The 14,507-nt window shown below is 33.7% G+C and overlaps 1 annotated feature.

Annotated features, from left to right (window-relative positions):
- Positions 12,036-12,205: an enhancer, noted in NCBI's record as "experimental_75090 CRE fragment used in MPRA reporter constructs". NCBI's record gives its function as "activates a minimal promoter by MPRAs in K562 erythroleukemia cells, with activity observed for the introgressed 4:161385376 variant allele {active_cell/tissue: K562}" and the evidence as "EXISTENCE:reporter gene assay evidence [ECO:0000049][PMID:34662402]".

The following is a 14,507-nucleotide window of genomic DNA, read 5'->3' on the forward strand; positions in this document are numbered from 1 at the left end:
AGAGGTTGCAGTGAGCCAAGATCATGGCACTGCACTCCAGCCTGGGTGACAGAGCAAGACTCTGTCTTTAAAAAGAAAAAGAAAAAGAGAGAGAGAACAAAGTGTAGAGGAATTGGGGATTCATTTCATATCAATTAGTGCATTTTGAATAAATACAACTTAGTATATGACATCATAAAAATGGAAGGATTTGGATCTTTTACTCTAACTCCCATGGTGTACCTGAAGCACAGTCAAGCAAGTCTGGATTTAAAAGCATGTACTCTAGCTTGGACACTCGCTAAATCTGCAACTTTACAAAATGTTTTCTCTGCCTCTGAAACAACCATGTTTATTTTTCTCCCTTATTCTATAAATATGGTAAATTTCATTATTACATATCTTGATAAGCCATTTTAAAATTCTATGGACAAATTTAGGGACTGTGATTTATGTTGGATAAGTGCTGGGTTTAATTTGCTAAGTTAAAAATTCATTTGCATTTATATTAATAAAGTGAGACTGGTCTATGTGATTTTCTTTTCCTATAAAACGCTTCTCCAACTTTGTTACAACGATTACATAAACTGTATAAACAAATCTAGTAGATATTTCTACTTTCATTCTCTGCAAAAGTTGGTGCAAGATAATTATAACGAGATATTTGTTCTTTGAAGTGTTAGTGAAATGTGGTTCTGTGGGTGAGTAAAAATTTGCTTATTATACAACTTCTGTTATTGGTCTATTTCCAGGTTTTACATTTTTGAACTAATTTGGTCATTTATATTTATTTGGAAATTCATCCATTTTGTTTATATTTCGAATTTAGATTCCTGAATTATTTCATAAAGTGTTTCTATGACTTTTAAATCCCAAATGTACGTGCAGATTGATTTAAAGTCCTTATTTTATTCTAAATATTGGGTTTTGATGGTATCGCTTCTGGGTTTTGCTTGTTACGTTTTGTTTTGCTTTGATTAGCTTACTTAATGATTTTTTTCTATTCTATCATAATTTTTAAAGGACCACATTTTTTTCCATACTGAAGGAAAGGCAGGTTATTTTATTTTTTAACTCAATACATTTTGCTTATGGATTACTATAGCTACTCATTTGAATGCTTACTTAATTATAATTATTTTTGCTTTCTCTAGATGTATGAAAGGCTACAAGTTGTTTATAAGTAACAATTTGCCTGCTTCTTGTAAGTTTTGCAATTTAATGGTCTCATTGTGATCTGGTTTTAAATATATCTTAAATGCTGACATAAATTATGGGCGATTTATGGGTATACTTTTAGGTTTTAAATGTGTTAGGATTATGTTTTAGCAATATGATTTTTAATAATTTCTAATTTTATTGCATTGAGATCAGTCAAATCTCCCAAGATTTTTGAGCCAACCTTTCTTGAATATAGGATGGCAAATATTTACAAATGTTTCATGTCCATTTTAAATGCATGCATTTATCTGTTGGTTAAATGTTATCTCTGTACCTGTTATATCAGACTAGTTAATCAAGTTTTTCTGATCTATATACTTAACTTATTTCTTGCATGCTTGAGATATTTCTTGAAAGTTATGTTAGCATTCCTCTTACTATGTTGTTGAGTTTTAAATTGTCCTTATCATTCTGTTACTTATAACTTTAGAAAATTTAGGACTATGAAGTTAGGTACAGACATGTTAATTATTTTATATGTTTGTGCATTTTTATTAGAATGTAATATCTCTATCTTAGACCTTTTATATAATATCATGTTGATGTGACAGCTATATATGCCTATTGTACTATTTTTCTCATCTCTTCATTTTCAACCTTTTTAAATCCTGTTTCAGAAAAGGATCTAATATGTTATAGATAAGTGGATTTTTATGGCCAATATGAACATTTCGACCTTTTAATATCAATAAAGTTAACTTATTTACAGTTATGTAACTACTGATCTATTTTAACTGATCTGCTGTCTTATTTTACCTTTTCTCCTTGCTCTATTTTTTTCATTGTTTCTAATTCCCTTCTTCTTTGAAGTAACCAACTCTCATTTATTCTCTTTTCCCTTATATTAATAAGTATTTCAGCTCATTGGAAAATATGAATTCTAGTTACAATCTTTAGTAGCTACCTACAAATTCATTCTAACTTACATGATTAGTGGTGTTTTTCCTACAAAGGTAATAAGTTATTTAGTGTTTCTCTTCTCATGCATGAGACAGGACCATTTTGCATTGTTTTTATTCTTTCTTTCCATATTGAACTCCTCTGTTGTAATATTGTAGAACAGAATTTCCCAAAATCCATATGGTTATGCTTGTACAATTAGCCAATCTCTCTTCAACCCCCACCTCCCCACACACACCCTTTTCAGCCTCTGATAACCATCATCCTACTCTCTATTTCCATGAGATCAACTTTTTAAACTCCTACATATGAAGGAGAATATGTAATATTTGTGTTTATGCCTGGCTTATTTCGCTTAACATAATGACCTTCAGTTCTATCCATATTGCTGCAAATATCAGTATTTCATTCCCTTTTCAATGGATGAAGAGTACTTCATTGTGTACATATACCCCATTTTGTTTATTCATTCATTCATTGATGGACATTTAAGTTGATTCCATATCTTGCTATTGTGAATGGTGGTGGAATAAATATGGAGATGTAGGTATCTCTTTGATATACCTTGTTTTTTAATACAACATAGTTACGTTGAATATTTATTAGATTTGCCATTAGGATATTGAACATCCTTGGCTACCATTGCTCCTTGCATATAACTTCTTTGATCTGACTTAACTTTTTCCTCTTAATTAAATTTATGCTAGGATTTTTTAATTAAAAGGGGATAGAACTCAGCCTAAATGTCCTTAAATAAAATAGGTTATTTTATAAAACATTTGGAATAGAATGGCTTTCATGCAGGTTGATAGCCATGATTAATTTTTCAACTTTGCTTTTACAGCATCAAAACTCATCTCATGTTTGGAAAAAAAATTGGGGCTGTCTGCTAGCTAAAACACTCTCCAGCAGTCTTATCAGATCAGCAATGTATTTAATCATTTAACAAATATTTGATAACCTACTAATTGTACAACAGAATTGCAGGCACTGTGTGTCGGTTTAGGTTTTCCAAGAAGCAGATGACAAGAAACACAGGAGACCTACTGGAGAAATATCTGCGTGGGATAAAATGGTGAGGAAACTAGAGTAGCTGGGGAAAGCTTAAGATCACATTGCAGGTTTGACACACGTGAGTGCAGAAAGACAGCAAAGGTGGATTGAGTAGGAAGACCTCAGTATTCAGTGCAGCATAAGAAACTTTTATCTTTTCTCCTTTGTGAAAGATCAGTGGAATATATTTCTGTATGCCTTTTTCTTTATTCTCTATTCTGTTCCACTCATCTGTTGATCTGCTCTTTTACAAATACCAGGTTGTCTTGATTTCTTCAGCATTGTAACTCTCGAAGTCAGGTAGTGTCAGTCCTGCAACTTTGATCTTCTTCAGTATTGTGTTGACTATTCTGTTTCTCTTGCCTTCCACATAAATTTTAGAGTCAGTTTGCTGATATCCACAAAACAATTTGCTAGTATTTTGACTAGGATTACATTGAATCTAGAGATTGCGTGGGAAAAAATTCTAACTTAGTGATATTGAGTCTTTCTATCAATGAACATCTAATATCTGTCAATGTATTTATATCTTTGATATCTTTCATTAGACTTGTATAATTTTCCTTATATTGAACCCTGTGCTATTTTGTTAGATTTGCTCCTAGTAAATGTTTCTATTGCAAATTCTTATTGTTCATTGTTGTTATGGGAAATCATTTGAGTTTTTTGTATTAAGATTGCATTTGGCAACCTTGTTATAATTGCTTATTAGTTTCAGGAGTTTTTTGTTGATTCTTTGGGATTTTCTACACAGACAGATGTCATCTGTGAACAATGACAGTTTCATTTCTTTTTTTCTAATCTGTATACTTTTTATTTCTTTTCTTTGTTTCTTTGTTTCATTGCATTAGCTAAGAATTTCAGTAAAATGTTAAGGAGTAATAAGAAGGGACATCCCTGCTTTATTCTCAGTTATAGAGGGAAAGCATCTAATTTCTGAACATTAACACTGATGTAAGCCATTTAATTTTTGTAAGTGTTCTTTATCAAGTTCAAGAATGAATGGTTTCCCTTCATTCTTAGTTTGCTGAGTTTTTATCATGAATAAGTCAACTATTGTCAAATTATTTTCCACATCTATTGATATGATCATGCGACTTTTCTTCTTTGATGTAATAGAGTACATTAATTGATTTTTCAGATGTTGAAATAATCTCACATAATGGGAATAAATTTTACTTGGTCATAGAGAATAGGTTTTTACACATTGTTGAATTTGATTAATTAATACCATGTTGATAATTTTTTCATGTATGTTGATGAGACATACTGGCCTGTAGTTTTTCTTTCTTGGAATGTCTTTATCTGGTAATGCAGGCTTCATAGTATGAGTAAGTAAGTGTCCCCTCTGTTTCTGTTTTCTGGAAGAGATTGTAAAGAATTGGTTTTGGAAAGAGATTAGTATTTGAAATGATAGACTGAGTAAAGTAGATGGTCCTTCACAATGTGAATGGGCATTCAGGCAATCGTTCAGAGCCTAAAGGAAACAAAATGGTGAAAGAAGGTTGAATTTGCTCTCCTCCTGACTGCTTAAGCTGGAGCATTGATCTTCTTCTGCCCTTGGTGCTCCTGATTTCCAGACCTTCAGGCACAGATGGGAATTTACAACATCAGCTCTCTGGCTCTCAGGCTTTTGAAGTATACCACCAACTTTCCTGGGTGTCCCGCATGCAGACAGCCAATTGTGGGACTTTTCAGCCTCCATAAACATATGACCCAACACTGTGTAATACGTCTCTTTATTTATACTCAGATGCAGTATTTTATCTCCTTCATTTTCTCTGTTTTTCTGCTTAAGATTGTATTGGTTTCTGCCCTAATTTTTATTATTTATTTTCTTATGCCCATTTTGGATTTAAGTGAATTTTCTTTCTCGAGTTGGAAGCATAAATTATGCAATTTTGATCTTTCTCCTTTTGTAATATATGCACTTGATGCTATAAATTTCCCTCTAAGCACTGCTTTTGCTACACTGCAAAATTTGTAATGGAATTGTATTTTCATTAAATTCAAAATTTTAAAAATTTCTCTTAAGACTTCTAATCTCCAAATATTTTGGGGGTTTTTACAGCTATAATTTGTTATTAATTTTCAATAAATTCCACTGTAGTCTAAGAGCATATTTCGTATGCTTTCCTTTTTTTAAATTTATTAATGTCTGTTTTATAACCTAGAATTAAATCTTTATTTGTGAATGTTGTGAGACTGGAATAATGTGTACTCTGTTGTTGTTTGGTATATTCTATAAATGTCAATGAGACCTACTTTATTAATGGTGCTATTCAGTTCAACTATGTCTTTACTGATTTTCTGCATGCTTAATCTGACAATTACTGGTAGAGTTATGTTTAATTCTCCAAGAATAATATATTTGTAAGTTCATGTTTGCAGTTCTGTGAGTTCTTCCCTCACTCTTTTATTCTCTCCATTTCAGTTTGGGATGTTTTTATTGATAAATCTTGAGGCTCACTGATTTTTTTCCTGGGCTGTGTCCAGTTTACTGGTTAAACTCCTCCAAGGCATTCTTTATTTCATTTACAGTGAATTTGATTTCTAGTACATTTTTCTGATGCTTTCATCAAGTTTATATCTCTCTGCTTACATATTCATCTGTTCTTGCATGTTGTTTCATTTTTCCATTAGAGCCTGTCATACTAATCGTAGTTATTTTAAGCTATCTGATAATTCCAAAATTTGTATCATGCAAGAATTTTGTTCTGCTGTTTTGTTTTTTCTGGCCATCTTCTTTTCTTACCTCCTAGCGTGCTTTGTTATTTTTTTGTTGAATGTTAGAAAGGATGTATCTGGTCATAGGAATGAAGTTAATCAGGCTTTTAGTGTGAGGTTTTATATTAATCTGTGTAAGAACTGGATAGTGCTTAGTGTTGGCTATAGTTGCAGGTGCCGGAAGCTTTAGTTTTCTTTAGAGTCTTTGCTGTTTTTTGCCCTACTGTCATTGTTTTTCCCTAGGAACTTCTTAAATAGAACGGATGTTCTGTAGGTCTCTCAGTTGTAATCCACTGCTGTTATTCTAGAGCCTTGTTCCCATAGTGGTAAGGCGTTAGAGAGGGGAAACACTCTGTAGTCTTATTACTCAATCTCAGTTTATTTTTTACAGGTCTTGGTCCTGAGCTGTGGCCTTCTGATGCATTTCTTGATCTTTTTACCATTTTCTACCCTTGTAATTGTCTAATTGACCTCTCCTCTGTTCAGATAAGGCTAAGACAAAGTAGTTTTCTTTGAAAGCTGGCCTTTGTTATGAATAATTCTCTGGATGTATTTCAAAGTGATTACTTTCACCTGATCTTTCAAAATGGTTATTTTTCCCCTCCCCATACACTGAAGCAAGAGGGATTTTATTCTCCCATTTTTACCATGAGAACCTGATGGTGCTCATGGTCGCAAAACCCAGAAAAGTATCAGGACACTAAGATTGTGCCCACAGGAACATTTAACTATCAAGCTATTCACAGTCATTCTGCAGCAATTCATCAATTAGCTTTCAGTGTTCCTTCCAGTTTATGGCTCCCAGTGAACTGATGTAGGCTGTGTTTCTCTGTACTTGTCTATCTCTCTAGCTGTAAGAATGGAGGTTTGCTATGTAACCTTAACTCCCTGATGGATCTAAGAAACATTTATTTTCAGTTTGTTTAACTATCTGTTTTGTGAGAAAAGGAATAATGACTTACAAATTCTTCACATTTTGGAGCTAAAAATCAGAAGTCAGATTATTGAATGTTAATTTTTGAATGTTACTGTTTATGCCAGAACAGCACATAATATAAACTTAATATCTTAAGATGCTTGTTGTATGTTAAATTATGTTGTTAAATGTTGCAGAGTTAATGGAATTATTCAACCAGAACAAATAAAATAGATTATTTCATTTTAGTTTTCTCTGGAAATCCCTACAGAAGTCTCATACCACATGTAAACAGACTATTAGCTCTTCTCCTATAGCTTGGTAGTTTGTTTGTTTAAACTGGGTCAACAAACCATGAGCTCCATGAGCTATGACTACATTTCATCTATTTTTGTATTCACAGTCTCTAGTATAGTGCTAACATATAGAATAATCTCAATAAGATTTGTTGAAAAAGCCATTTGCTTTACATTAAAAACTCCCAGAGTAAAGAATTATATCCTAAACATCTTTATATTCTACCCCTCCATCAAACAATGTAGTTATATATGAGTCACCAACAAATAATGAATATATGTATAAAATAGTAGATAAATAAATATAATTTTCTACCTTAGTCCTCAAAAATGTTGGTCTGTGGTAGAGTGAATATAAGTTCCTCTATGAACCTAAATTGAGAGTGAATCAGATGTGCTTGGACTTCAATCCCAGCTCCAAGTTTTTCATTCTTTTACATTCTTTTCATTCTTTTACATTCTTTTCATTCAATTTACATTCTTTCTCTGAACCACCCCAATCTGTGAAATGGAGATAATAATTTGACTATAATTTTGTTACAGATTAAGATGATAATGTTCCAATATGTAATTTCATACTGTGTATATACTTGGTGCTTAATAAATATTTCCTTTTCCCATAACTCATCACTCCTTTTTTGTAAATATTAACTATGTATGCAGCAAGATATTTACGTAGATGGTATAAGAAAATTAAGTAGCGTACAACAATCATTATTTTATTTCATTTTCTGAGGGGGGGCAAATATACTTCAAAATCCACTGATAGATTCTTATCTTTTCCTCATAAAAGTAGTATATAAAAGTATCTTTTCCTCATAAAATCCTTTTGAACACTTTCAATACTTCAATTTATCTTCATTTCTTCCTCTGACCTGCTACTTCTCTCACTTCCTCTCCAGCTAAAGTTCTCTCTCCTCATGCCCTCACTCACTGTGTTCAAACTACAGGCATGTCAGGTATGCATCTTCCTCAACGCCTTTGCAAACCTTATTTTATTTTCTGGCTGAAATAATCTTCCTCTAGATGATCTTAGATATTCCTGCATATCTTTCTATGACCATCTTATTTAAACACAACTCCCTGGTACTTTATTAGGCCACCCCTGTATTCATTTTCTCTCTAGAGTTTACTATCATCTGGCATTCATGACATATCATGAATTTTATTTTTTATTGATAATGTTTCTCACCCTCTCCAATTAGAACCTAAGCTCCATGAAATCAGGGAATTTTGAGTATTTTTTTCATTGTTGTGTCTGGCACATGATAGACATTTCATAAATATTTGTGGTGTGAATAAATGAATATAGTGGCATTATAAGCAAAGAGTTCATAAGAGAAGCATACACAATCTTTTAAAAATACATTAAGGTTATGACTTGCTTTATTATTCTTTATTCTAAGGTCAGAAGCTCTGATAGACACTCTAAAATAAAGTGAGGCACGGACAGATTGATAGTGTTCTTCTAAGCTTATTATTTTTCACAGATGTTACTTGGGAGACTTAGTTTCCAAAAACAGAGAAAAAGAAAGAGACAGAGGTTGCATGTGAATGATAGTTTTACTGATACACACCAAATGCCCATTACCATGAGAATATATGTATTGCTTTATAGAAAATTTGTATTAGTGGTTCATTTTAATGAAGTACCTTTCATTTGGCATCTCATATTGTCCAGACATATAATCATAACAGCTAAATTTTCAAATAATATAATGCAGTCTCCCAAAGTGGCAGGCATTCTACTGTATGGTGCAGATTATAGTGGGAAGATGATCACATTTTCCTAAATATTCATTTATTTTTAAATGTTTCAGAAAAGAATTGACGTCCTAAACCAAATTCATTGAAGTAGCAAGTTTACATTATTGCCAAAGACTCCCTTAGACAAATCAAATATATCTTTGAGAAAGTTTTGATATTTTATTTCACAAGCTGAGTGTCTACTCTGTGCTGTATGCTATCTATGGCTGTCACTGGTGATAAAGTAAAACAAAATTCCATCCCTTGCCTTTAGCTTTTCTCAGGCCAGTTTGTCTTCCTCTCCTATTAAAACAATGCTCATTTAGTATTGTAATTTATCTAGAATCACCATTCTTTTTTTTCTCTGTAATCCCCCAAATCTCCACATTCCTTGCTGAGATGGTTAATTTTATGTGTCAACTTGGGTAGGCTATGGTGCCTGGTTGTTTGGTCAAACAGCAATCTATATGTTGCTGTGAGTGTTTGTTTTTGATTTTGCTTTAAAATGTGATTAACATTTAGATCAGTAGACAATATGGAGATTTCTCTAAGAAGAGAGCTCTTCAAGACCATGACATAGAAAGTCTGCTTGAGTTTCCAGCCTGCTACCCTGTAGAATTTAGACTTAAGACTGGAATATCAATTTCCTCCTAAATTTTCAGCCTGCCTGCTGGCCTGCCCTACAGATTTAAGACTTGCTAGCCTCACAATGGTATGAGACAGTTCTCTAAAATAAATCACTCTAGATATGAATATATAGATATAGATAGATATATCTTAGGAGATATATCTACATCTATATGTCCTATTTGTTCTTTTTCTTTTGATACTTCTGACTGTAACACTTGTATTCACAATATTTTGTAATTTTCCTGAGAACAGGAATTTCATCTGTTTATTCTGAGCTATGAAACCCTGTTCAATATATAGTGGCTTGACATTAATTTTTGTTGAATTAATAAATATAACTTCATCTTTTTTCCTGGATAAATTATATCATGCTTCTGTACTAAAATTCCTTTTACATTAAAACTGGAAGAACATTAAAATAAGGAGAATTCTTAGGAAAGGGAAGAATGTCTGATTTCCAAGTATATATTCTTAGAAAGAGCATGGCTAGTGCTTGGAAATCATTTGCAAATTAACATGAGCCATAATCATTTGATACGATAAGAATCAAAAATAAACATTACCCCTACATACATGTATTATGCAGACTGCTAAGAGACCATGATTATCTTTATCTGCTATAAGTAGTGAGAGTGCATGGAGATGTGAGAGCTTATGGTTCTCCAGGGAGCATCAGTAAACAAGGGTTCCAGCCCAAAGATGAAGAAGGAACTGAAGCAATAGCATGATGGGGTTAGTCTGTGTTGAAAACGTTGGCTTTCTTCCTTAAGTCAACTTGGAGTTGTGCACAATTCTTCAGAAGAGCTATGTAGTAATGTTATGTGTCCTTGGGGGTATTGAAACACTGCTGTAAGCTTATCCTCTCTGAAAAAACTTTGAAGTTAGCCTTTTCTTTAAGGAGCTTAGTGGTTGTTTCAAGAAAACAAACACAGGGACTTGGAAACCTCACAACATTATAAGATATTGCTAGTAGACCCTATATTTATTCATTTATTTACTTGTCTATATATCATACATAATATTAAATATACATAAATGTACCTTTTGGATTTTTAGTCTATCTCAGGAAAAATTGTGGTTCTATTAAAATATTTCCCCTTAATAATTATTAATAAAGACTCTTTGTTAAGGTCTTTTCTATTTGCATTAATATTAACATTAGTTTTCAATTCTATAGCATATCATGAAATTATCATTTTGATTCTTTGCACTATTTAAAATTCACAATATTTCTGGCCCACTTTCTTTATATCTTTTTTTCTATCACTATTTCAATGTATTAAAAACATATTTGGTCATTGTAATTGGCATTTGTGAGGAAGGGAATCAAATACCAGATATAAAAGTCCTACAGCAGTATACACTGTTTGGCTACTTCCTACATATGCAACTATATCTCAGGCTCAATATGCTCAAACTATGCTGCCCTTCTTTTAATTCCAAAAATATATTTTTTTATCATCTCAGAAATGTCATTGTTTAGTCTCTATTCTAAATTCTTCATCTTCTATTATTCTCTACACATGGAAAATGCATGTTAGAAAATTATATTATTCTAAGAAATAGAAGAAAGTTCTAAGTGAAAATTTATTTAAATAAAATAAGTTTTAAAGTATATGAAACAGTTGGATAAATATAGTACACTAAGAAGTACTAAGAAATAAAAGGATCATAGGATAACCAAAAAAAGAACGAAAATCTAAGGAAAGAAATAGCTGGAAATAAACAAAAATTATATTGCATAAAAAATAAGCAACAAGAAATAGAATGAAGTTGTATGAAACTGAACCAGGTGGGAACTGGAGAGCAAGGTCGCTGGAAATCGCTGGCCTCTTCAGTGCTGGCAGGGGCAAATTCCACTCACTGGGACCTGCTGTGCTCCACTCCTCACGGGATGGGGAGCACATAGGTGAGTGGGCGCAGGAGCCAGGGCGAGTGCTTTTGGGCACCAGCAGGAGTGAACTCCGTACTGGCCCTGAGGCAGCATCTAGGTGGGTTGTCCATGACCCCTGAGGCCCCAGAAGAAGTGTTACACTACTCTTTTCTGTTGTCTATGGATGGCTCAAGTGTTAACAGCTTAGTGGAGGGTCAATGTGACAGCCTTTTGCACCTCCACTCATGGCACCAAAGTTTTTGTTCGGAGTCCAGGAGAAATGAGGTCACACAAACGAATTGAAGATAGTAAATGTAGGGGATTTTATTGTCCATGAAAGTGGCTCTCAGTGGGAAGGGGAGCTAAAAAGGGGCATGGAGCAGGAAGGTAATCTTTCCCTGAAGTCTGGCCCTTTCTGGTTGGATTTCTTTCTCAAGCTATGCCATCAAGCTGTCCCTCTGAAGTCAAGCCACTCCTCTCCGACATTCAACTGTAGTCTCCATTGTCCAGCTGCTTCTCTTTTCTCCGCTGGCTGAACCTGGGGTTTTTATGAGCACAGGATGTTGGCTGGGGTTTGCCAGGGGTGGTTTTGGAAAAGGCACCATTTGAGTGGCAAAACAGGGATATAACTTCTCACTTTGGGCCATGGTATCAGGATTTTCAGCTTGAGGGTGGGGCCCTCACCTTTACCAAAGACCTACCCTCCCAGGATTTCTCCACTTCTTGTCTCTGTCAAAACCAGAGACACCAATATGGAGCACAGTCTGTGAAAATTCACACGCACATAAAGAAAATCAAAGGACTAAAGTGTGTGTTTAGGGATTTTACTTATGGAAGGCAGAAAAGGACACAGATTGTATACAAAATCGATGTCATTGATTTTTTAAAAAAAGGACAGTACAAAATAGTCAAATATGATATACAAAATAACTTTTGTTCACTTTGTATTTTTAATTAACACTACAAACCAGAAGACATTCAGCACTCACTCTTATTTGCTGAGATAAAAAGCTGATAATGTAGGTCCAGCTGGGATGTATTTATTTTGTAAGGGCCTAACAACCATCCTTTTTCAGACTTATGGAGATTGCATTCTGATTAAGCTTTGGAGGGGTCATTCTTCATCGTAAGCAATCTACTCATTCCTCCACTTAACACATGGCTTTGTATGTCACATTTGCCAGGCAGTGCTCTAGGTGCTGGGGAGCATTAAAAGCAAACAACAAACAAATTCCTGCCATCATGAGCTTATACAACTAATTTAAGTGAGTATGAAGGGATAACAGAGATAATGAACAACATACATATATACATTAATGGTACAGTTTAAATAAAAAGAGAAGGGTGATAAGATCATTAGGAATTGTGGGATGCATGCTGAAATTTTAAATAGGGTGATTAACATATACTGATTGAAAAGATGATATTTGAGCAAAGATATTGAGTAAAGATGGAGCAAGTGACCCATGAAAGCCTACATGATCAAGATGATCATGGCATTCAGGGGTGTAGTACAAGAGTAAGACGAGTAGTTCTCAAAGTTTGAATATTGGGAACTTGCCAGAAATGCACATTCTTTGGTCTTATCCCAGACAGCTAAGCCAAAACTATAGGTTGAGGTACAGCAACCTGTGTTTTATCAAGCACACTAAACTTTAATAATGACTAACCAAGTCTACACTCATAGGTAATGAGTACACCAATATTAGAGGATAAATACGTTACCCCAAAAATGTCAATCAGAGCCAAAGAAAAAAGTAATTTTAGAACTTCCTTTAGAACTACTGGTAAACAAAGTTTTACATTAGGCAGAATGAAATAGAAATATGAACTTCTCTATGTTAGTAGCACAGAAGTGAAGTCTCAAAAAATCGAATTTACACAAAAATTCAGTCCAGGAATAAACCTTGAGAATATCGCGTAAGCACTGAATAAAGCTGACCCTGAGGTACTCTTTTTATGTTGTTTTCAGGAGGTGATACATTTCATTTTCACTTCAGTCAATTGGATTTTATTGTCTTCACTAGAAACACTCCTAAATGAGAAGCAGAAGTATTTAGAATTCACATAACAAAAGCAACTAAATGACATATTGAAAAATATAGAGACTAATGCAGAGCAATTTCAGTTAATAAATATAGAGGAAACAATAAAATTTTTAAATCACCATCTTGCTGCATTTTATGTAATAATGAATGAAGGCAATTATCATCAATGATGATGAAATAATTAGGTAAAGATTAATGGGAGAATTATGATAAATAGATCAGGCTAAAAACTTGAGCAATCTTAACACTATTGAAACTAAGTCAATCAGATATTTTGTTTGATGTAACAATAGGAAGTACATTGAACCACATATTTTGACCCCCCCAAAATGAAGCTGAATCTAGTCAACCTTCTATATATATTCATCAGATTATTTGAAATATGGGGCAAACAAATACCACAATTTATATTCTACAGATAAAAGGCCAGGATTCTCTTAAATAATTAGAATACAAGAGTGTATTTTCCATTAATATAACTCTTATCTATTTATATTTTTTATCACAATTATGTATTACTTTTCTTGATCTATGTCAGATGATTTTACTAATCATATGCAAGTTAAAATTGTTACATCTTTCATGCAAACATAAATTTTTGTATATGGTGACTCTATATATTCTAAGTGATTTTGTCATTGCTAGAGGGGTTTTCCATTTGGTTCTTAATCAGTAAGGACTCATGTTACTACAGGTGCAATTTTTTTTATGAATATTGTCCTTCTGTCTTTCTTGTATATTTTTTTTTTTATAGAATCTTGCTCTGTTGCCCAGGCTGGAGTGCAGTGGCGTGATCTTGGCTCACTGCAACCTCCACCTCCCGGGTTAAAGCGATTCTCCGGTCTCAGCCTCCCGAGTAGCTGGGATTACAGGTGCATGCCACCATGCCTGGCTAATTTTTGTATTTTTAGTAGAGACGGGATTTCATCATGTTGGCCAGGATGGTCTTGATCTCCCAAACTCGTGATCTGCACACCTCGGCCTCCCAAAGTGCTGGGATTACAGGTGTGAGCCACCGTGCTCAGCCAAAGTCCACAGGATACTTCAGAAAGATCAGGTGTACTAGTGTTAAGTGAAGGACTTGAAGCCAACGAAATTCTGTGAAAAATTCTGTGTTA

This window comes from Homo sapiens, chromosome 4 (genome assembly GCF_000001405.40).
Source record: "Homo sapiens chromosome 4, GRCh38.p14 Primary Assembly".
Taxonomy (NCBI): Eukaryota; Metazoa; Chordata; class Mammalia; order Primates; family Hominidae; genus Homo; species Homo sapiens.